Source organism: Homo sapiens, chromosome 2 (genome assembly GCF_000001405.40).
Source record: "Homo sapiens chromosome 2, GRCh38.p14 Primary Assembly".
Lineage (NCBI taxonomy): Eukaryota > Metazoa > Chordata > Mammalia > Primates > Hominidae > Homo > Homo sapiens.
Genome location: NC_000002.12, coordinates 241629468 through 241652102, shown reverse-complemented (window position 1 = coordinate 241652102; position 22635 = coordinate 241629468). Strand labels below are relative to the sequence as shown.

Genomic DNA, 22635 nt, shown 5'->3' with positions numbered 1-22635 from the left:
TCCAATGTCCAGCCGTTGTGGCTATTTGACTTCCACCTCACTTCAGGATAAAGAATGAAACCACCCCTAGAAGAGGGACCAAACCCTGACCTGGCACTGAGGAAGCATGACGCCAGCCCGGCCCTCACCTCCGGCCTCAGTTCTCCGCCGGTGAGAGGCAAGGCTGAGAACCAGTCCCCATCTCCTTCCAGCTCCAGGGTATACAACAATGATGAATGGCTTTTAACAGAATGCACCTTAGTGTTACATAAAAACATGTCACATTCACCTGGCCCTTCAAATCTCCCCACAGGTTAAGTGTGGAAAATACTAAAAAAGATGAGGGCTACAGAGAATGGCTTCCAAACATTCTGGACCTAAGTAAGAAACACATTGTACAGCTGTGACCCAGAACACACACTCAAACATGCAAACGAAAACGAAGATCCCTGAAGCGCCATGCTGCGTGCCCGTGGCGGACACACACCGCTTTCTATGACATTCTGTCCTACATTTAAAACAACGTTGGTCATAACTCATGATACTGATTTCCAGCTCCAGTAATAAGCTGGGATTTGCAGTTGAAAACACACTAGCCTAGAGTCAGGCGCCGTGGATTCTAGCTTTGCCACTACTACACGTGAGGCCTCGGCCAATTCAGTTAAGCAGGATTGCTGTGAAGATTCAAATGAAGTCAGTGGCATATTGAAGTCAAATCTACAAGCGTAAGTTTTCCTCCTTCCTAAAAACATATTTTGTCCCGCGTTGTAATAAAACAGAGTACTTACCAATGGCTGGAAAGTTTTTCCTGTATGTAAACCAAAGTCTAGATGCCACATCAGACAAGATCTCGTCCTTTTCTAGAGGTTGTTTAAAAGAAAAAAAACACACACACACAACGCCTTAAGTTTGCAAGTCACAAGTTATGGCAGAGTTAGCAGAGAACAGTGATCACAAAATGCTTCTGCAGGCCAAGCGGTCAGACCAGGGTGGGCTCCAGCATGGCCGATACCTGTGAAAATGCTGTATTTTCTACCCAGTATCCAAACGGGCTCTGAGGTCTCAGGAAAATCTTCAAACTCAGCAAACCGGAGAGTGTCGTAGGTCAGAGTAGCTGTTGAAACCAAAGATGCACAATCATCAGACACTTATAATTTCATAAACTAGTATCGAAAGAGGCCATTTACAGCATTTCTGTGCTGAAGAGAACAACTGTAAATTCTTGTAACAGCAGCACTCCCTCTCGTATCTCGGGCCTACCAAGACACCCACCATGGATGGAGTAAACTCTTAGGAAAGAGAAGGAGGCCCTGCTGGGCAGCTGCTCTGCTAAGGTATGGGGACAGGGAGGTGGGGCCAGCATGCTACTTCCTGAGCCTTTCATATTCTGAGCCACTGAGTCAGTGTCTAACAGCTGACACGAGGGTGAGAGGCCAAGTTAGGGGCCAACCTGAGGGGTGAGAAAGCAAAAAAATGAAAACCCACCCGATTCAAGCACTTACTTTAGACTTAAAAAGTAAAGGACAAAAATAAAGTTAAACCACCTCCTTCATCCTTGTACGCAAGGGAAGCCAAGAAGAAACAGGGCAAAGAGTCGTTTTCCATGGCCATCCTAAGGTTTACCAGATGTCACCATGGCAGCGTGTTCAGAGTCACTGTGATGAAGGCAGATGCTCCGGGGCAAGAAACACTGAGCTGCTGGGAAGACTGGGGTTCTGGTCTACCCCAATTTCCTGGTTAGGAGCAGGTGCTGGAGAAGCATGGGGTGCTACTCTCAGGTAGAAAGTTAACCCCTGGACACTGAGAGATCAAACTCTCTGCCAAGTCCCCAGAGGTACCCGGGTACAAAAAGCCTAGTGATCAAGGACTGAACCTGTTTTCATTTCAACAATGCTACCAGAAGAGCATGCCACCACTTCCATGGGGCAACACCCCACTTTCTAAGGAGGCAGCTGGCTGCAGAGCCATGGTGCTTACCTGCTGGGCTAATGATTAGCCCTGCATGCCATCTTACTCTGTTTTACTTCAATTAAGAAACTAGGCCAGGCACAGTGGCTCATGCCTGTGATCCCAGCACTCTGGGAGGCCGAGGTGGGCAGATCACCTGAGGCCAGGAGTTTGAGACCAGCCTGGTCAACATGGTGAAACTCCGTCTCTACTAAAAGTACAACAATTAGCCAGGCGTGGTGGCGGGCGCCTGTAATCCCAGCTACTAGGGAGACTGAGCCAAGAGAATCACTTGAACCCAGAAGGTGGAGGTTGCAGTGAGCTGAGATTGTGCCACTGCACTCCAGCCTGGGTGACAAGAGTGAAACTCCATCTCAAAAAAAAAAAAAAAAGAAAAAGAAAAGAAAAAGAAAAAAAAGAAAGAAAGAAACTAGAGAGGCCCAGGGTCTTCCTGTCCACAGAACTGTGGCTGAGGATACCCATGTCCCACAATGTTCCTGAAAAGAAGGCGCCAGCCAGCAGCAATGCACCAGCCCAAACACCCATGTGGCGAGATGCCCATTGCGTATTCTGGGGCGGCACCAGAGGCATCTCTCTCCAGCTGCTCTTCAGGGAACTGGGAACACACAATTCCCATCTGCTGCCTCTCCAGCTCTGATGGTGTCTGATCACTCATCCTTCACCAGCAACTTTACAGCAATCTTTTGAAAATCAATCACATATGAATTTCTCCCACATCTAAATTTACTTTTTGATAACAACCCCACACTTCAATAAGAATGACATATGCTAATCATAAAAAATTCTGAAGACTACAAAAATACACAAATCACGTGAAGCCTCGTTGCCCAGCAATGACTCTTTCCAGAAGTCTTTATGCACAGGTTCGTACGTGAAATCATACTATGCCTGTGGTTTCCTCAGCATTCTACATAAACACAGATCTCCACCTAAGCTGATACTAAAAAGCATCGTGTGTGAACTTCTGTGCTGTGCACAATCCCCTTGGGGAGGCAGGGGGCAGTCAGAATTTAAAGCCCAGCTTGGGTACTGGTAAACTGTAGTTTCCTGGGCCACTCACTTAACTTCTAAGTGTGAATGTTCCCTCATCCATAAAATGGGATAACAACAGGACAGCCTCAGCATATGGGTGTGACGTTTCAATGAAACACTTCCAATGAGGTGCTGGCTGGCAGACAGAAGGGCTGCAATGTCCGCTCTGTCATTAACATCGAGGACTCAGAACCACAGGGTCAAAGGCACACAAATTTTACTATACCCAAAAGCCTTAATTGTATGCGCAGCTAATTCCCAAACACAGGGTTCAGAAGCACCTGCAAGCATCTCCCTCGGTGCAGGCAGAACTACCAAATCCACAATAGAGGGCCCTACAGGCACTGTTTAAAGGATTCTCAGCTGTGGGAGACCCAGGCCCCTCTCTGCCCCTTTCCTAGAGTAGTGCTGTGGCTTCCTGAGCAAGATGACGGGCGTTGTGGAGCGGCTGCAGCCAGATGAAGCAAGCTTTCCACAGCAGGGCTTTGTCCAAGAGCTCTGCTCCTGTTTTTTTTTCTTTTTTTTTTTTGAGACCGGGACTCATTTTGTCACCCAGGCTGGAGTACAGTGGTGTAATCACAGCTTACTGCAGCCTCAAACTCCCAGGCTCAATCAATTCTCCGGTCTCAGCCTCCTGAGCAGCTGAGACTACAGGCATGTGCCACCACACCCAGCTAATTCTTGTATTTTTTGTAGAGATGAGGTCTAATCATGTTGTCAAGCTGGTCTCAAACTCCTAGGCTCAAGCAATCCACCTGCCTTAGCCTCCCGAAGGCTGGGATTACAGGCATGAGCCACTGCACCTGGCCCCCAAGAGCTCTGCTCTTACATATTTCACTTGTCCATGCTTTCAGAGACATTATCAACCAAACTGCTTGGTGACTGTGAATAAATAAAGTCCAAGTTTACATTCTCTCCTGCCTTTTTATATATATGTTACTTGTTTCTGCACATGATTACAAAAACTGAATTAGGATGAATTAAGGTCCATGCCTTTTTTTTATTCTTTTGTGATGGAGTCTCACTCTGTTGCCCAGGCTGAAGTGCAGTGGCATGATCTTGGCTCCCTGCAACCTCCACCTTCCGGGTTCAAGAAATTCTCCTGCCTCATCCTCCCGAGTAGCTGGGATTACAGACATCTGCCACCATGCCCGGCTAATTTTTGTATTTTTAGTAGAGACAGGGTTTCACTGTGTTAGCCAGGCTGGTCTCGATCTCCTGACCTCAAGTGATCCACCCACCTCGGCCTCCCAAAGTGCTGGGATTACAGGCGTGAGCCACAGCATCCGGCCCACTCCTATCTTTTTAAAGAGCTGAAAAACATCATGATGTCCCTGCTACCTCTCTAAAGCCACTCCTGAATCTTCAGAAGTCCCTACTATTCTTTGACCTGTAGGCTTTATTCAATATATAGACTAAAATCCAGAAAACTTATTCTCAAGGAAAAAGGATGAAAACACCACCGGTCTAATTTCTTTTCTTTTTTTTTTTTTTTTTTTTTGAGACGGAGTCTCACTCTGTCGCCCACCAGGCTGGAGTGCAGTAGCGCGATCTCGGCTCACTGCAAGCTCTGCCTCCCGGCTCATGCCATTCTCCTGCCTCAGCCTCCTGAGTAGCTGGGACTACAAGCGCCCGCCACCACGCCTGGCTAATTTTTTGTATTTTTTTTAGTAGAGACGGGGTTTCACTGTGTTAGCCAGGATGGTCTCAATCTCCTGACCTCATGATCCTCCCGCCTCGGCCTCCCAAAGTGCTGGGATTACAGGCGTGAGCCACTGCGCCTGGCCACCACCGGTCTAATTTCAACACTGCAAGACAATGATTCCATCTTGCTGTTGGAACATTCTTCTCATGTTTGACACCGTTCCAAGGCACCAGCTTTGAACTAAAGATACACATATCTTTTATTTAAAGTACAGCAGAGCTAAATGAACACTGGCAAGTATCTCTTTGTAGACTACAGATGTTCCTTAATTAGGATGGGATTATGTCCAATAAACCCATTGTAAATTGAAAATACTTAGGTCAAAAATGCACTGAGGCCAGGCACAGGGGCTCATGCCTGTAATCCCAGCACTTGGGGAGGCCAAGGCGGGTGGATCACCTGAGGTCAGGAGTTGGAGACCAGCCTGGTCAACATGGTGAAATCCCATCTCTATTAAAAACACAAAAAGTTACTCGGGCATGGTGGCAGGTGCCTGTAATCCCAGCTACTCGGGAGGCTGAGGCAGGAGAATTGCTTAAACCCAGGAGGCGGAGGCTGCAGTGACCTGAGATCGCGCCACTGCATTCCAGCCCAGGTGGGAGAGTGAAACTCTGTCTCAAAAAAAAAAAAAAAAAAAGCATTGAATACACGTAATCTACCTAACATCATAGCTTAGCCTAGCCTGCCTTAAATGTGCTCAGAACACTTACATTAGCCTACAGTTGGGCAAACTCAGCTGGCAACACAGTGCCCTGTAGAGCAGGGGTCATTCCCCCTTCTCATGATGTGGCTGACGAGGAGCTATCTGGCATCTCGAGAGTATCTGGAGGCATACTGCTAGCCCAGAAAAAGATCAAAATTCAAAACGTCAAGTATGGTTTCCATAGAATGCATACTGCTTTCACACTATCGTAAAGTCAAAAAATTGTAAGTCAAACCATGGTAGTTTGGAGACCATCTGTACTTCAGAAGAATGTGGCGTATGTCATCAGGAAAAGGACCATATTGTTGAATCAGTAACAGTCTGCAGTAACAGAATCTGGAAGCTGAGAAACTTCTAGGATGTCTAGTTTCCCATATTAAAAATATAAATGGTAAAGGAATGAGAGAAGTATAGATAAGGAAGAAAAGGAAAAAGGCTCCCTCTGAAAGCAGGGTCACGAGGCCTGAGCGGCTGTGAAGTTGAGGGATTTTCATCACGGACGCAGTAAAATGCACAGCAGGTGTATTTCTTAGGTTTATCACCAAACTTTATAGGCAAGGAAGCCAACTTCAGAGTGAAGGGAATAAGAGGTGTTCCATTAAGTTCAAATACACCACCACACCTCCAGCTATAACTGTGAAAATTACAGGTGTGTGGCCTCAGATTGCTCACTGTATAAACCATCAAGGAGACCAGGAAACCCCAGGGGAGCAAATCCAAGGAGCAATCACGGTGCTTGGCAGTGAACAGGAGTGGCGCAGCCACGGCGAACGTGACCCATGAGGTCCCTAAGGAGGGCTCCCACACCGTGCCCCAAGCTGCTCTGCTCCTCCGTCCAGAGAAACGCACTCCGGCCCTCCCCGAGAATCCTGCCCTCTGTTGGGAGCGAGTCATACATTCCCCTAGGGCTAGTGGCGGACACTCTGAAAACATGATCCCTTGCTTCTCCCACCACACTGCACCCTCCTCTCGGTACTGTGGAGGACGCTGCAAGTGGGGAGTGTCCACACGTCACACCTGGAGCACGTTCCTGACAGCTGGAGCGCCAGCTGTGGAGTCAGAAGTCTGAGCCCACCACTGAGCAGTCACGCAACCTTACAGGCTAGTGACCTTCTTGTGACTTGGTGTCCTCACTGTGAAACGGACAAGTCAAGGTGCAGGAAAAGCTCTAAACTGCACGGGAGCAGTAACCACTCTTTCAGGGCCAGCCTTCTCAGATCACTGAAACGGGTGAGCAGTCACGAACCGGCATGGATGGGAGGTATTCTGTAAGCAGAGGTGCAGCACAGAGTACAAGGTCAACAGAGACCCAACCAAACATGAGTCTCTTTACTAACACTGAATCCAACATAACGTCCTTTCCTCCAAGAGTGACTGCATTTAGAGAGCAAGAGCCTGCCCCCGGCCTCACGGGCTGGCTCCAAGGACCAAAGAGACCTGCAGCGATTCCTACAAAAGAGCCAATAAAGACTCTCAGACTCGCATCTCTTCAGTTATGAGGAGGTCTTCCCTGTACTCTAGGGGCCCCACACTGTCCCTCTCATGCTGGAGGACAGGAAGGAATGCCCTCGGCAGGCCCTCCGAGCAGAACTCACCCCTCCTGGACACCCTCGCAGCTCCAGCTGAAGAGGAAGACACAATGAGGAGCCATGGACTGAGGCATCAGAACGGTACAAAGACCTCCCTGACCTTCCAGATCTTACTTTATAATGGAGGAAGATAACTTTTTTGGAATTAACACTTCTAATTTCTTTCTTTTTTTTTTTTTGAGATGGAGTTTTGCTCGTCACCCAGGCTGGAGTGCAATGGCACGATCTCGGCTCACTGCAACCTCCGCCTCCCGGTTTCAAGCGATTCTCCTGCCTCAGCCTCCCGAGTAGCTGGGATTACAGGTGTGTGCCACCACGCCTGGCTAATTTTGTATTTTTAGTAGAGATGGGTTTCTCCCATGTTGGTCAGGCTGGTCTCGAACTCCTCATCTCAGATGATCCGCCCACATCAGCTTCCGAAAGTGCTGGGATTACAGGCATGAGCCACCGCAACCGGCCGACACTTCTGATTTCTACTGAGGTTTGGTTCTGGAGTCTGACAGCCTGCTCGATAGCTACAGGCAGACCGCGCCCGGCCAACACTTCTGATTCCTACTGAGGTTTGTTTCTGGAGTCTGAGAGCCTGGTCGATAGCTACAGGACAGACACAGGCCTGGACTTCTTCCAGCCTCAGTCTCCTCACCCATGAAATGGGGCACAGCCACCAGTTTTCCAAGTGGGGTGAGAACCCACAATGGGTGCAAAACTAACGCTCACAATCACTAACATCTGCAGATCGACCAACACGATGATTCCATTCCCAAACGTTCCTTCTGGCTCTGTCACCCAAGGGTCTGGCTCTGTCACCCAAGCTGGAGTGCAGTGGTGTGATCTCAGCTCACTGCAACCTCCCCCTTCCGGCCTCAAGGGATCCTCCCACCTCAGCCTCCTGAGTAGCTGGGACTACAGGCATGCACCGTCATGCCTAATTTTTGTATTTTTTGTAGAGGTGGGGTTTCCCTATGTTAAGCAGGCTGGTCTCAAACTCCTGGGCTCCAGTGATCCACCCACCTCAGCCTCCCAAAGTGCTGGGACTACAAGTGTGAGCCACCACACTTGTTCCTTCACTGACTCTCAGATGTATGAGATCCACTTAGGCCTGACACCAGCTGCCTCAGCAATTCGCCATGGAGAGGTTCCCTTGTCTTATTTCATAGCCCCTGTCATAATTTCATCATCTTCCCGTGCCACATCATGTGATTTATAAGGTAATTCATGTAGCTCCTGATAGAAAAGGAGTCAAACTTCGGAAAAAATATCCACTCGCCGGGTGCAGTGGCTCACACCTGTAATCCCAGCACTTTAGGAGGCCAAGGTGGGTGGATCACCTGAGGTCAAGGGTTCAAGACCAGCCTGGCCAACATGGCAAAACCCCGTTGCAGTGAGCCGAGATCACGCCACTGCACTCCAGCCTGGACGACGGGGGGGGGGGAAAATATATACATACACACACACACACACACGTATATATATATTTATACATATATGTGTATATATTTATGTGTATATATACGTATATATATGTTTATATATATATGTACATATATACATAAATAAATATATAGACCCATCTCTAGACTTCCAGGTAATGATATTAATTTGAAATAAGATGACATGTAAGGCCAGGTGCCGTGGCTCATGCCTGTAATCCCAGCACTTTAAGAAGCCAAGATGGGAGGATCACTTGAGCCCAGGAGTTTGAGACCAGCCTGGGCAATACAGGGAGACCCTGTCTCTCTTAAAAAAAAAAAAAAAAAAAAAATAGCTAGGCGTGGACATCTGTAGTCTTAGCTACTGAGGAATGTGAGGCAAGAAGATCACTTGAGCCCAGGAGGTCAAGGCTGCAATGAGCTGAGGCCGCAACACCATACTCCAGTCTGAGCGATGAAGTGAGACCCTGCCTCAAAAAAAGATGACACGCAGGAGGAACAAGATGAAGAAGTAGGTTGGGTGTGGTGGTTCACCTGTAATCCCAGCACTTTGGGAGGCCGAGGCGGGCAGATCACTTGAGGTCAGAAGTTCGAGAACAGCCTGGCCAACATGGTGAAACCCCATCTCTACTAAAAATATAAAAAAGTTAGCCAGGCATGGTGGTGCACACCTGTAATCCCAGCTACTCGGGAGGCTGAGGCAGGAGAATCTCTTGAACCCAGGAGGCGAAGGCTGCAGTGAGCTGAGATAGAGCCACTGCACTCCAGCCAGTCTGGGCGACAGTGAGACTCCGTCTTAAAAAAAAAAAAAAAAAAAAAAAAAAGGACGGAGAGGTGCTGTACACCTTAAGAAAGAGTCCCCCTTAGAAGCAGTTCTCCCATTTGGTCGGCTGGATCCCAGACACTTGATTTTCCACGCCCTCTTCCCTGGGACTTCTGCGATCACAAGCAGAAGAGGGCAGATGGCATTTTAATAATATAGTAATTCCATCAGAAAAAACATGTGACTTAGTACTACTAATCTGACAGGCAGAAATGTAGGGAATTGTACTCAATGAATTTAACCAACTTCTCTCCATTTAGTACCAATTACACTTCATTCAACCAGAGAGGACTACAAAAAAAAACGAGTAAATTTAAGAGCTTACTGTAAACCACTTCATTTCGAAGAAACCTTCCTAAAACACTTAGAAGTTATTTTCCAAAAGATTTATATTTTATAAATTCAACAAAGGTTCTTCTTTTCCTTTAGAAAGCTCTTAGGTTTAAGATAACAGTTTGCATATGATTACTACTTTTTTTTAAATCTCCAAGAGTTTACATGAGAATGCTAGTAGTTCAGTCCTGAATGAAAACAGAGAAAGAGAGAAAGGAACTCCAAATTTAGCTACATCAGAAAGCTAGAAAACACTGTTTCAGTGCACACACTGGGCAGATTGCGCACATTAAAACCCACTCCCCTAGATCGCGCCCACCGCACTCCAGCCTGGGAAACAGAGCAAGACTCCATCTCAAGAAAAAAAAAAAAACCACTCCCCAGCAGCCTCTGCATTCATTACATGTTATGCTAACATACTGGATTTATGTTAAACTCTACAAACTGAAAGCTTTGATAGTAGGGGAATGTGTAGGTTATTATTAATTCAAGTTCTGTTTTTTTTTTATTACCAACCACATGCCAGACACAAGTGATGCACTAGAAATGCAAGCACAAGACACCAGCTCTGTCCTCAAGGAATGGGCAGTGTGGCTATTTAAGTGCTGGCACCTGCCAGTCGTCTGAATGGGGAGCATGCTTTTAGGGACAGTGCTAGGGACTGGTGGAGAACACAGCCACACTGTGGTCTGCCTGCCACCTCCTGGACCTCTCCACACCCGCAGAGGCCTTTGGCCTCTTTTCTTTCCCACCCACATTCACACCCTGGGTGACCTCATCTGATGTGACCTCCAGTCTATCTCCAGCCCAGGCTTATTCTTTTAGCTCCAAACCTGTAGACCCAAAAGCCCACTGGACACTGCTCTACAAGGATGTCTAACATCCACCTCACATTCAACACACATAAATCCAAACTCGCAACAGAAAGCTTCCCACCAGACAGGACCTCCCCAAGTCTTCCCCATCTGAGTTTCTTTTTTTTTTTTTTTTTGAGACAGAGTCTCGCTCTGTCGCCCAGGCTGGAGTGCAGTGGCGCAGTCTTGGCTCACTGCAAGCTCCGCCTCCCGGGTTCACGCCATTCTCCTGCCTCAGCCTCCTGCGTAGCTGGGATCACAGGCGCCCGCCACTATGCCCGGCTAATTTTTTGTATTTTTAGTAGCGACGGGGTTTCACCGTGTTAGCCAGGATGGTCTCGATCTCCTGACCTTGTGATCCGCCCACCTCGGCCTCTCAAAGTGCTGGGATTACAGGCGTGAGCCACCACGCCCGCCCCCCTCCATCTGAGTTGCTTAGCTCAGGCCATACACTATGGGGCCATCTTTAACTCCTCCCTCTCTACCCATCCCTCTCCCAACTTCCAATCTACAAACAAATTCTATTGTCTCAACCTCCAAAACACATGCAGAAGTCAACCTCTTACCCACCCTGAGCTAATCCACTGGCATCTCCTTGCTGGCTTGTTCAACAGTCTCTTAGCTGGTCTCGCTGCCTCTGCCCTTGCCCCTCTGCAGTACATTCTCAAAAGAGATGCCAGAGCAAGCCTGTTGAACACAGTCTATCATGTGACTCCTCCTCTAGAATGAAACCTTCCAAACGGCTGCCATCCTGTTCAGAATAAACACTGAGTCCTCACTATGAGCTGCCATCCTGTTCAGAATAAACACCGAGTCCTCACTATGAGCTGGCAAGGCCCCACTACACTGAGCCTAAGTCACCTTTCTATCCTCAGCTCCTGCTTCTCCCACCGCCACCCGCTGCACCTGAGCCACACCAGGCTCTTGCTACCTGCCCTTCCTCCTACACTGCTTTAAGTCTTCGTCAAAACTTAAACCTTCAGAGTGAGACCCTTCCTGGCCATCCTGGCTACAATTCCAATCCTCCTCATCCTTGGCCCAAATCACCATCCCCCAGGAGCCACGCACTTCGCTGCTAATGCTGGTCTCATGTCTAGAACGTTAGCTACCCCAGGGCAATGGTTTTCATCTATGTTGTTACTTCTCTAGTCCTAGTGTCTAGAACAATGCCTAACACATATCTGACAGTCAGTAACAAACAGTGTATTGAATTAATGACTATCAGAACAGAAACTGTATTACACATGGTCAAGGAAGGCAGAATCTTCAAGAACTCTAGAGATCAAAGGAGGGCAGATCATTAATCATCTCTGAAAGGAAATACAGCATCAAGTCAGAAGGAAAATTCCCCATGATATCCTACAAACATCATATACGTTTTTATCAGCATAAACAGAGACCTTTAAATGCAAACACCTTTTCTACTCTGATCCCACATGCAGCAACATCCAGTGTCCTATTAAAGTATCACCATGTCAACACAGTTGTCAAGGGAAAATAAAAGATAAAATAAAGTATCGCCATGTAACAACATAACTGTTCTCCCAACTTGAACATGATGATTTTCACATTTTAGGTCATATGATCGACACTGAACCGTGTTTTTGACCTTAGCCAAGTCTCTCATATGATACTCCAGCCTCAAGGTATCGAAATGATAGAGGCAGGAGGCAGACAAATCCTAGGCAGAGAGGGGTGGGTCACCAGTGAAACCCAACCTTCAAGCCACAGTTTAAAGCCTGAAAGCCAAGCGACGAGTCTCGGATAAATCCACAGACTGGATTGCGAACCTCTCTTCCTGTTTGGTGCGCTTTCCTCTAATTAATCCCCACCCTTCACCTATTTTACATATACCTACTTTTCTCTAATTGGTTTATTACACTGTTGTGCCCACCTTTGAGTAGTGACTTTGTTTTAACCTTTTTTGCATACTCACAGACAAATCAGCACACACTCCCCATTCTGAGCCTATAAAAGCCCTGGACCCAGCCACACCAAGGGAGACCACCCGACTTTGGGTGGAAGACCACCCTTGAGTCCCCTCTCTGCTGAGGGGTGTTTCATCACTCAATAAAACTATTCTCCACCCTCCTCACCCTTCGATTGTCAGTGTTAAGTGTAGTCTCATTCTTCTTGGACGTGGGACAAGAACTAGGGACCCAATGAATGCAAGTACAAAGAAGGCTGTAACACTGTGGCCCTGGGCCCTCTGCCGGCAAAGGGCAGCCACCCACTGTGACACCCCACGTGACAGGAGGCAGCAAAGGGAAGCAGCGGGGACGGAGCCAGCCCCAGAGCTATAGCCTGGAGCAGGGCAATGGGAGTAACAGGGCTGCTGACACTCTGCAACACCCCCTCTTGGGCTTCAGGGTTGTAAGCACCCCTGCTTGGGCGCCACTACCTTCCCCTTGTCTGGACACCAGAATCCACTGTCCCTTTGTCTGGACGCTGGAGTCCGCCGTGGGAGTTGCTTGCCACATGTCTAGCTGTAAGCTCTGCAGAGCCCACTCTGGTGCCTGCGCTTGAAACAGCTGGCGGGACCCGGCACTCACTCACCCACACACCCACTCCCGCCAGGGGCTGAGCATACAGTCATGGTGGCCATGGTATCCGTGCCATAGTGCAAACCAGGTGCCCACCGGTGGACCAAGTAGATGGGGTATCTCCTGCGGCGAGCCTGGACCCAAGCAAGGCCTGGGCAGGGGCCTCGCCAGCCGGAGGTCTCTGGCTGCCAGAGTGGCTGAGAAAAATCCTGCATCACAAACAATAACACCTAAAAAGATATAATACAACAGTTGTAAAATAGTAAACAACAAATAGTACACAGCTGCAAATAGTTCAACCGTGAATGACGGTTATTCTAAAAGACAAACTTCACAAGATATACACCTGGTCAACATGCTCCTTAGGGAGTCAGGGCTCCTGTTTCCTCCAGCCACCTACCACATTTAAGTGGTGAGCTGCTACAAATCATTTTAATAGATATTGGCAATACACATTACAGTTTTCCAACTCAGATCTTAATAAATTTATGTTGTAGCTACCAGAAAAATAAAAAGTAAAAACAATCCCATTCAGAATGACAGAATTAAACCAGATGAAAATCTTTCTTTACAGATGGGGGATACTTGGTAAAAGGCAAATCAGTTCCCACAAAGAATGAATGAGCTAAAACTTCTGTGTAAAAATATTTCTAGGGCTACTGGGCTAGCGATGGGTTTGGCGCTGACTTAAAATAATCTTGCTAGCAAAAATGGAGCGGAAGCATGAAAGGATAGGAAAAAAACCAACACTCCCTATACACACACACACACACTCCTTCTCTTTCTCTCTCTCTTAGGACCCCAAGAAACTAAGACCCGATGATACAAATTCACTGTTTCTCTTTCTCGTCACGGAAAAGCAGCTTGGAGAATCTACTGGTTACTAAATTGAAGACAAAAACAAAAAAGATACGTATACTGTGATGAACACGTCACGTTTCTCTCCTCCAACCTACCAATAACTTCATAAAAGTTAAAGAGCTTCCATCCCTTCACGCTCAGCTGCGGAAAGGCTACGCTTTCGCCCGCCGCTCGCGTCCCCGGCCCGGACCGCGGCCGCCCCGTTCGCCGCCGCGCCTCTCCCCGCCCGGCAGGCTCCGCCGCCCTCCACGGCCGACCTGGCGCAAGGGCCTGTGCAGCCACAACCTCCGGAGCGCTCCGGACGGGACCGGAAAAGCAGAAGCTCCAGCGCAACCGACGGCGGGTTCCGCGGCGCAGTGCGCCGCCGTCCCCCTCCCGCTCCCACCGCCCACCACCCACCAACACCGCCCCGCGCTCCCGCAGCGCCCGCCGCCCCGGCCCAGCCTGGCCCGCACCGGCGTGCCCCGAGGCGAGTCGCGGCAGCCCGACCCGAGCAGGGGAGGCCAATGATAAGGCGAGCACCTCCTGCGGAAAGACCGACCCCCGGCAACTCCTCACCTGCGTCCATCTTCCCAGTCCGGCCGCCGACTGACCCGAGCGGCGTCGCTCCGACGGGCCAGCAACGCGACGCGGCGACGGGACGCCGCGGGGGCCAATAGGTGTGCCGGCGCAGGCGGCGAAGACGATACGGCGCGCGAGCGGAAATACGCGGGAGCCGCCATTTTGGCGTACGGCCGGGCCGACGCGAGCCCCGGGGCGCCCTGCGGGCGGCATGGGGTCGTGTCGTGGGACGACGGCTGGTTCTGCTGTCCGACGGGACACTGTGTGCCATGGGTGGCGCTTCCTCCTCTTAGAGGACCCAGGAGCAGTTGTCGAGGCGGCAGAGGCGAGCTCTGTCCCCGTCCGAGCAGCCATCTTGCGGTACGGACGTGCTCGGCGCGCCCATGTCGCGGTACGGACTTGCCCCGCCGGGGCGACTCCCCCGCCCGTCTGCCCGCCTGCCGACGGACGCTGCGAGGGGCCTGCGGCGCCCCGCTGGTCCGAAGACGCCCGAACCCGCGGCTGGCGAGGACGCGGGCGGGGGCTGGGGCGGGGGCGGGCCCGCTGCGGGCGCCTGCGCCTCCATCTTGCCGTACGGCGCGGACGCCGCGGGCCGGCCCACGTCCCGAGCCGTGTCGCCGCCGCGCTCCCTCCCTCGGGGCGGTCCGCGGGCGGGCGGGCGGCTAGGGCCGGGGCCTGGCTGCGCGGCTGGGCCAAGGCCCGCGATGGTGATCTGCTGTGCGGCCGTGAACTGCTCCAACCGGCAGGGAAAGGGCGAGAAGCGCGCCGTCTCCTTCCACAGGTACGCGGGCCCCGGGCCGCCACGCCCCCGCCCCGACCCGGCCCTGCGGGGAAACTGAGGCCCCGCGGCCGGCCCGAACGCGGGGGGCGGGGGCGCCGGGCCTCGGCGGCCGGGGCGCGGGGGAGCGGGCGTGGGCGCTGTGTGACCTTGGCCCGGCCGCCGTCTCTGGGCCGGGCGCCTCGGGCAGCGCAGCCGCCCCCACCCCGGCCGCCTGGGTCCGCCCTGCGCGCGATCGATCCGGCCGGCGCCTAGGCTTCAGAAGCCGCACGCTCTGGAAGCGCAGGTCCTGGGCCGATTGTCCTGCTCGGCCGCGACTGCTGACTCTCCGGACCGCGCGGGCCGTCGGCCTGGATGTCTGCGAGCAGGAGCGACCGGGCAGACGCGACCTGCGCCTCCGTAGCTGACAGCCCCCGAGAGGGCTTTCCGGGACTGGGCCCCCGAGCCCAGGACGCGGGTACGCGCGGAGAGTCTACGGGACGGCCGGCTGGGGACGGCATCCTCCTGCGCTCCCTTAGAGCCTGGCCCGGGGCTCTCGGCCGCTTCCCACGTGGGCCCCCGCGGCAGGGCCCAAACCCCTCTAAGGCCTTGTGAGTTCAGCCTATTTCAGTGAGATTTCTGCGGATTACACGCGGGAGGCACCAGAACCGCGAACAGACTTTAAAAACCACTTTGGAGATGTTTCTGTTTTATGTTGCATGGTGTTATTTAAGTTTTAAAGACGGGAATGGCACGTGTTATTTATAGGGTTATTGAAAGTTCACAGTAGTTTGCTGTAAGTCTTAAATCATTACAATGTATTATAAGAATTAGTAACATTAGATTATTTCACAAGTCAGCCAGCGCACTTTCTTGACAATTTCCTTCAGAGCTTGTGTCCTAGAAGTTTTGTTATTGTTTTTTGAAAACGAGGCAACGTGTTGCAACGGTCTAACATGGTATGGGAGGAAAGGACATCGGAATTGGGGGTGGGGGGGTACCTTTGCAGTTGGCCTCACAGTGTTCAGAAAGGAGGTTAGAAGGTCCTGTTGCTTAGAACGGCCCAGTCCATCCTGTTAGGATTTGTCCTGGTCCACACTGGCCTCAGGTGGAGCAAATAGCAGTTAGAACTGACCACCCTGTCCCTTATGTGCACATTAGGGCCTGGTTTTTTTTTCTTTTTTTCTCTTTTTTTTGAGAAGGAGTCTCCCTCTGTCGCCCAGGCTGGAGTGCATTGGTGCGATCTCGGCTCACTGCAACCCCCGCTCCTGGGTTCAAGCTATTCTCCTGCTTCAGCCTCCCAAGTAGCTGGGATTACAGGCAAGCGCCACCACGCCTGTCTAATTTTTTTGTATTTTTAGTAGAGACAGGGTTTCACCATATTGGCCAGGCTGGTCTCGAACTCTGGCCTCAAAGTCCTGACCTCAAGTGATCCACCCGCCTCGGCCTCCCAAAGTGCTGGGATTACAGGCATAAGCCACCCCGCCCGGCCCAGGCCTATGTTCTTAAACACAGAGTTTGCCTTAATGAAGAAATGGTTATGAAGGATCTTTATTAGGTAATAAAGAAATGACTAAACATCCTATTCAGTATCTTCCTGCGCTGGTTGCTTTTTTCTCACCATTTTTAAATTATGGTATAATACATGTAACATGAAATTTACCATCCTAACTTTTTTTGGAGACAGAGTCCCACTCTGTCACCCAGGCTGGAGTGCAATGGTATGACCGTAGCTCACTGCAGCCTCAGCCTCCTGGACCCAAGTGGTCCTCCCATCTCAGCCTCCAGAGTAGCTGGGATCACAGGCATGAGCCACGGCTCCCAGCCTTTCCTACCGCTTTTTCAGTGTACAATTCATGGCAACAAATACATTCACGTTGTTGTGCAGCTGTCACTACCATCCACCTCCAGAATTATTTTTATTTTGTAAAGCGGAATCTCTGGACTCATTAAACATTAATACCCCAGTCCTCCTCTCCCTAGGCTCTGGGAACCCGCATTCTCCTGTCTCTATGAATTTGATTACTCTGAGTACCTCATGTGAGTGGTATCATGCAGTGTTTGTTTTTTTGCACCTGCCCTATTTCATTCAGTATAATGTCCTCAAGGATCATCTGAGTTGGTTGATTTTTTTTGAGGGGAGAAGACCGGGTTTCACTCTGTTCCCCAGGATGGGGAGCAGTGGTGCAGTCTTAGCTCACTGTAACTTCGAATTTCTGGGCTCAAAGAACCCTCAAGCCTCAGGCTCCCAAGTAACTGGAACTGCAGGTGAGCACCATTGTGCCCTGTCCCTGGGCTGGTTGACTTTTAAAAGGAGCATTTTTACTCCTGGAGGTGGGCATGCAACAGGAACACAGAACTGTAGCTCTGGAGTCTTCTGGAGGTCTCCAGATTCTCAGCTGCTTGCGCACAGCCAGGGCTGCCTCCATGCAGTCCTGACCTCTCACGCCCTAGTGTCTGTGGATGCTGGCCCTGGTTTTGGTACCCAGAGTCCTACCTTCCAGGCAAGTTGGGAGGGTTGGTTAGCAGTCAGCTTCTAGGAGCTATTTCCTGCTGTCCTGAGGCCATCCTGGCACTGTCTGTCAGCATCCTGTGTCCCCATTGGGCATTTACCACAGCCTGGGGAGCAGTTGGTTACCTTCTTTCCCATCCGCCCTACAGACTATAAGCTCTGTATGGGTAGACAACGGGTCTTTCAGATTTCTACTCCAGTAATAACTGCAGGTAGAAGATGTTCTTTAAATCTTTTTGAAGTATTTTTTTAAGTGGATGAAGTCAATACGGCTTAGGGTGCGTGCAAAAATACTTGTTTTGCTTTTACAGTTGATTATTTTAAGGGGAGACATTTAATTATTTCTAATTACTTTTTGTCATTTGTCCTGTAGGTTCCCCCTAAAGGACTCAAAACGTCTAATCCAATGGTTAAAAGCTGTTCAGAGGGATAACTGGACTCCCACTAAGTATTCATTTCTCTGTAGTGAGCATTTCACCAAAGACAGCTTCTCCAAGAGGCTGGAGGACCAGCATCGCCTGCTGAAGCCCACGGCCGTGCCATCCATCTTCCACCTGACCGAGAAGAAGAGGGGGGCTGGAGGCCATGGCCGCACCCGGAGAAAAGATGCCAGCAAGGCCACAGGGGGTGTGAGGGGACACTCGAGTGCCGCCACCAGCAGAGGAGCTGCAGGTTGGTCACCGTCCTCGAGTGGAAACCCGATGGCCAAGCCAGAGTCCCGCAGGTTGAAGCAAGCTGCTCTGCAAGGTGAAGCCACACCCAGGGCGGCCCAGGAGGCCGCCAGCCAGGAGCAGGCCCAGCAAGCTCTGGAACGGACTCCAGGAGATGGACTGGCCACCATGGTGGCAGGCAGTCAGGGAAAAGCAGAAGCGTCTGCCACAGATGCTGGCGATGAGAGCGCCACTTCCTCCATCGAAGGGGGCGTGACAGATAAGAGTGGCATTTCTATGGATGACTTTACGCCCCCAGGATCTGGGGCGTGCAAATTTATCGGCTCACTTCATTCGTACAGTTTCTCCTCTAAGCACACCCGAGAAAGGCCATCTGTCCCCCGAGAGCCCATTGACCGCAAGAGGCTGAAGAAAGATGTGGAACCAAGCTGCAGTGGGAGCAGCCTGGGACCCGACAAGGGCCTGGCCCAGAGCCCTCCCAGCTCATCACTTACCGCGACACCGCAGAAGCCTTCCCAGAGCCCCTCTGCCCCTCCTGCCGACGTCACCCCAAAGCCAGCCACGGAAGCCGTGCAGAGCGAGCACAGCGACGCCAGCCCCATGTCCATCAACGAGGTCATCCTGTCGGCGTCAGGGGCCTGCAAGCTCATCGACTCACTGCACTCCTACTGCTTCTCCTCCCGGCAGAACAAGAGCCAGGTGTGCTGCCTGCGGGAGCAGGTGGAGAAGAAGAACGGCGAGCTGAAGAGCCTGCGGCAGAGGGTCAGCCGCTCCGACAGCCAGGTGCGGAAGCTACAGGAGAAGCTGGATGAGCTGAGGAGAGTGAGCGTCCCCTATCCAAGTAGCCTGCTGTCGCCCAGCCGCGGTCAGTACCGGAGCCTCGCGTACCCATGTTCCCTTCCCGTTAGGAGGGGTTTCTCTGCAAGGTGGCCAGCGTCCCCTGAGCATTTCTGGGAGGTGTCACAAGCTCCCTGCGCTCTCAGGAGGAAGCTCTGGTCGTAACCATACCTTGTGGATGAGGGAATCCAGGTTAGAAAGCAGGCCTCACTGCACCTGGTCCCACAAGAGGCATCTGTGTGTGTAGGGATGTAGGCCGTGAAGGAGGCAGGCAGCACGCGTCAGCCAGGAGTGCCTGAACGCCTCCGTGGAGAGTGCACAGGGAAAGATAGCTTCTGTTTCATACCTTATGCAACAGAAATTCCAGATGAGTTAGGAACTAGATGGAAAATAAGAGAGTAAACTCTCAGAAAAAGCAAATATCAGAAACTGTTAAAATCATGAGGAGGTTCTTTCTGTTCACGTTTTAAGGAATATCCTTGAAGTTAAATCATCATGAACATTAATAATTATTTTAACATCTATTCAATTAAAACATCTGTTGAGGCTGGACTCGGTGGCTCACACCTGTAATCCCAGTACTTTGGGAGGCTAAGGTGGGCAGATCACTTGAGGTCAGGAGTTCGAGACCACCCTGGCCAATATGGTGAAACATACAAAAACATACTACTAAAACATACAAAAACTAGCTGCACATGGTGGTGCACGCTTGTAATCCCAGTTATTGGGGAGGCTGGGGCAGGTGGATTGCTTGAACCTGGGAGGCAGAGGTTGCTGTGAGCCAGGATTGCACCACTTCACTCTGGCCTGGGTGACAGAATAAGACTCTGTCTCCAAAAAAAAAAGACACACATCTATTGAAACACATTCTCAGCCGGGCATGGTGGCACACTCCTGTAATGCCAGCTACTCAGGAGGCTGAGGCAGGAGAATAGCTTGAACCTGGGAGGCGGAGGTTGCAGTGAGCTGAGATGGCACCACTGCACTACTCTTTGTCAGCCTGCGTGACAAAGAGCACAACTCTGTCTCAAAAGAGAAAAAAAAAAAAAAAGAAATACAATACATTCTCTGTTGCAAAAATTAAAACTGCAGAAATAGACTAAGAAGTGGTAAAAAAATTATTGTTTGTCATCCACCTCCCAAGTTCTATTCCTTGTTGTTATTAAAAATTTGGTGTGTAAGCCAGGCACAGTAGCTCTTGCCTGTAATCTCAGCACTTCGGGAGGCCGAAGAGGGAAGGTTACTTGAGTCCAGAAGTTCAAACCAGCCTGGGCAACATAGGGAGACCCCATCTCTATAAATAATTTAAAAATTAGCCGAGTACCATGGTGCACGCCTGTGGTCCCAACTACTTGGGAGACTGAGGCAGAAGGATAGCTTGAGCCTGGGAGGTCGAGGCTGTAGTGAGCTGTGATTGCACCACTGTACTCCAGCCTAGGTGACAGTGAGACCCTGTCTCAAAAAACAAAATTTCCTGTGTAATCTTTGTATGTATATTAGCTCTATTTCTGTTTTTTCCCATATTTTACTGTTAAGTATTTCTTAAAATTGGTTTCTAGATGTTTACATATGGCGGATGGTTTCCTTTGCCTGTCGTGTACATAGGAAAACCATATTCCTACCACATTGTTGATTTCATCTGGATCAATGCTTGTCAATAAGTATATGATAGTGGGACAAGATTTTCAGGACCTCCTGGATCCTCAGGGTAACAGCTATTAGCACAACCGAAAACAAAGCCCATCCGACATGTTCTCCAGATGTGTCCTGGGGAGGAACGGTGCCACTGAGTACTGCTGACCTAGATTTTCAGATCAAATCTAGATTTTCGGATTCTTGGGTTGAAATTGTATACTGTTTTTCTCTTGGAATTTTATTTTATTTTTTGAGATGGCATCTCACTCTGTTGCCGAGGTTGGAGTGCAGTGGTGAGATCTCAGCTAACTGCAACCTCTGCCTCCCGGGTTCAAGCAGTTCTCCAACCTCTGCCTCCTGGGTTCAAGCAATTCTCCTACCTCAGCCTCCCAAGGAGCTAGGATTACAGGCCCCTATCACCACACCTGGCTAATTCTTATATTTTTAGTACAGATGATGTTTCACCATGTTGGCTACAGTTGTGAGCCACCACACCAGGCCTTCTCTCGGAATTTTTTTTTTTTTTTTTTGAGACGGAGTTTTGCTCTTGTTGCCCAGGCTGGAGTGCAATGGTGCAATCTTGGCTCACCGCAACCTCCACCTCCCGGGTTCAAGCAATTCTCTTGCCTCAGCCTCCCGAGTAGCTGGGATCACAGGCATGCGCCACCACACCCAGCTAATTTTGTATTTTTAGTAGAGACAGTGGTTTCTCCATGTTGGTCAGGCTGGTCTCGAACTCCCGACCTCAGGTGATCCACCCGCCTCGGCCTCCCAGCTTCTCTTGGAATTTTAAAGCTGTTTGTAGTTATCAGAGCTAATGCTGCTTTAGACAGCTTCTCTCTGTTCCTCTTGGTTAAACTTCCTGAAGTTTGTCTCCATTACAGGTTTTTGCAAACAGCCAGCCCTTCGTGTCTCTGAGTTGTTGTTTATGCTGGTTAATCCTTACATCTTTTTGCTTTGTTGGGTTTTTTCTTGTAGTTCTGGTTCCTGGCGTGTTCCTTAACCCTGCAATGGAGGCTGTGGCTCTGCTGTTCCTTGGGCTGCGTGCCATGGATCTGCCTCTCTCTGCTTTTGTTGCTGTTCATTTCTGAGTCGTTTGTAATTCCAGCCTCGATGCCCCCTTTAACCCTGTGGTTATTTAAAAGGGTGTTGACAGATTTTTCAGTGCACACAGATTGGGCGAGGGGAGCAAATTTTTTTGTAGTTACTTTAAAATTTGATTGCATTAAGGTCTAATGGTAAGGACTGAAGGAGTTCTGCTTTTTGGAATCCTTTGAGACTTCACTGTGGCTAACACAGTCCCTTTTTGTGACTGTTGCAGTGTAGTGCTAGAAGAATGTATCCTCACCACTCCTTGGTTATATTGTTCCCGCCTGAAGCTGGGCACTTGCTTACTTGTGTTAGTCAGCGGACCAGAGCGTTCCCTAGCTTCTTGTCAGGCTCTCGGTCTGCTGATTTCCAGGAAAGGTGAGGTAGACCTCCCCTGTGGTTCTGGAGGTGCCCGTTTCTGCTTGTATGTCCAAGTTTTGCTTTCTGCCTCAAGACCATGCTGTTTGATGCATAAGTTTTCCTGTTACCAACACAAGAAACTCCTTTTTGTCCCGTTTAACGTCTTATTTCTTCATTTCCTTATTTTCAACCTTTTCATCTTATTTTATAGTTATATTTTTAACTCAATCCAAAAGTCTTTTTGTAGAGTAATTTAGTCATTTACAATTGTGATTACTGATAAGTGGGAATTCGGGCCTACCTTTTTAATTTGTTAGGCTTCCTCACCGTTTTCTTATTATTCTTCTAGTGGATATGTTTCAATTTTTTCTTTTCTTTTTTTTTTTTTAAGAG

At 50.0% G+C, this 22635-nt stretch overlaps 2 protein-coding genes across 12 annotated transcripts in view, besides 10 other annotated features; one reads left to right on the top strand and one right to left on the bottom strand.

Moving 5' to 3' along the window:
• Positions 1 to 14410, bottom strand: part of ATG4B (autophagy related 4B cysteine peptidase) — a 36165-nt gene extending 21755 nt beyond the window's left edge. For 5 of the 8 annotated variants that reach the window (XM_005246992.5, NM_178326.3, NM_013325.5 and 2 more), the window contains exons 1-3: positions 14379 to 14410; positions 992 to 1093; positions 768 to 839 (exon numbers count right to left, since the gene is read on the bottom strand). In XM_005246992.5, coding sequence (XP_005247049.2) covers positions 768 to 839; positions 992 to 1093; positions 14379 to 14388 — 184 coding nt within the window. In that variant the 5' untranslated portion in view covers positions 14389 to 14410. Of the gene's footprint in view, positions 1 to 767; positions 840 to 991; positions 1094 to 13915; positions 14173 to 14378 lie in introns of those variants that run through there. The other 3 variants (XM_047443741.1, XM_047443742.1, XM_047443740.1) reach the window with 3 other exon arrangements.
• Positions 6278 to 6779: an enhancer, noted in NCBI's record as "H3K4me1 hESC enhancer chr2:242584739-242585240 (GRCh37/hg19 assembly coordinates)". NCBI's record gives its function as "activates a minimal SCP1, AML or CMV promoter by ChIP-STARR-seq in naive H9 embryonic stem cells {active_cell/tissue: H9 hESC(naive)}" and the evidence as "EXISTENCE:reporter gene assay evidence [ECO:0000049][PMID:30033119]".
• Positions 6851 to 7351: an enhancer, noted in NCBI's record as "H3K4me1 hESC enhancer chr2:242584167-242584667 (GRCh37/hg19 assembly coordinates)". NCBI's record gives its function as "activates a minimal SCP1, AML or CMV promoter by ChIP-STARR-seq in naive H9 embryonic stem cells {active_cell/tissue: H9 hESC(naive)}" and the evidence as "EXISTENCE:reporter gene assay evidence [ECO:0000049][PMID:30033119]".
• Positions 12929 to 13462: an enhancer, noted in NCBI's record as "H3K4me1 hESC enhancer chr2:242578056-242578589 (GRCh37/hg19 assembly coordinates)". NCBI's record gives its function as "activates a minimal SCP1, AML or CMV promoter by ChIP-STARR-seq in primed H9 embryonic stem cells {active_cell/tissue: H9 hESC(primed)}" and the evidence as "EXISTENCE:reporter gene assay evidence [ECO:0000049][PMID:30033119]".
• Positions 13862 to 14789: an enhancer, noted in NCBI's record as "H3K27ac hESC enhancer chr2:242576729-242577656 (GRCh37/hg19 assembly coordinates)". NCBI's record gives its function as "activates a minimal SCP1, AML or CMV promoter by ChIP-STARR-seq in naive H9 embryonic stem cells {active_cell/tissue: H9 hESC(naive)}" and the evidence as "EXISTENCE:reporter gene assay evidence [ECO:0000049][PMID:30033119]".
• Positions 13953 to 14092: a silencer, noted in NCBI's record as "silent region_12552". NCBI's record gives its function as "represses an Ori minimal core promoter by ATAC-STARR-seq in GM12878 lymphoblastoid cells {active_cell/tissue: GM12878}" and the evidence as "EXISTENCE:reporter gene assay evidence [ECO:0000049][PMID:35858748]".
• Positions 14133 to 14322: a silencer, noted in NCBI's record as "silent region_12551". NCBI's record gives its function as "represses an Ori minimal core promoter by ATAC-STARR-seq in GM12878 lymphoblastoid cells {active_cell/tissue: GM12878}" and the evidence as "EXISTENCE:reporter gene assay evidence [ECO:0000049][PMID:35858748]".
• Positions 14343 to 14392: a silencer, noted in NCBI's record as "silent region_12550". NCBI's record gives its function as "represses an Ori minimal core promoter by ATAC-STARR-seq in GM12878 lymphoblastoid cells {active_cell/tissue: GM12878}" and the evidence as "EXISTENCE:reporter gene assay evidence [ECO:0000049][PMID:35858748]".
• Positions 14527 to 22635, top strand: part of THAP4 (THAP domain containing 4) — a 53172-nt gene continuing 45063 nt past the window's right edge. For 2 of the 4 annotated variants that reach the window (XM_017004256.2, XM_011511291.3), the window contains exons 1-2: positions 14527 to 14741; positions 18024 to 19186. In XM_017004256.2, coding sequence (XP_016859745.1) covers positions 14593 to 14741; positions 18024 to 19186 — 1312 coding nt within the window. In that variant the 5' untranslated portion in view covers positions 14527 to 14592. Of the gene's footprint in view, positions 14742 to 14944; positions 15163 to 18023; positions 19187 to 22635 lie in introns of those variants that run through there. The other 2 variants (NM_015963.6, XM_005247016.5) reach the window with 1 other exon arrangement.
• Positions 14763 to 15112: a silencer, noted in NCBI's record as "silent region_12549". NCBI's record gives its function as "represses an Ori minimal core promoter by ATAC-STARR-seq in GM12878 lymphoblastoid cells {active_cell/tissue: GM12878}" and the evidence as "EXISTENCE:reporter gene assay evidence [ECO:0000049][PMID:35858748]".
• Positions 15143 to 15212: a silencer, noted in NCBI's record as "silent region_12548". NCBI's record gives its function as "represses an Ori minimal core promoter by ATAC-STARR-seq in GM12878 lymphoblastoid cells {active_cell/tissue: GM12878}" and the evidence as "EXISTENCE:reporter gene assay evidence [ECO:0000049][PMID:35858748]".
• Positions 15283 to 15422: a silencer, noted in NCBI's record as "silent region_12547". NCBI's record gives its function as "represses an Ori minimal core promoter by ATAC-STARR-seq in GM12878 lymphoblastoid cells {active_cell/tissue: GM12878}" and the evidence as "EXISTENCE:reporter gene assay evidence [ECO:0000049][PMID:35858748]".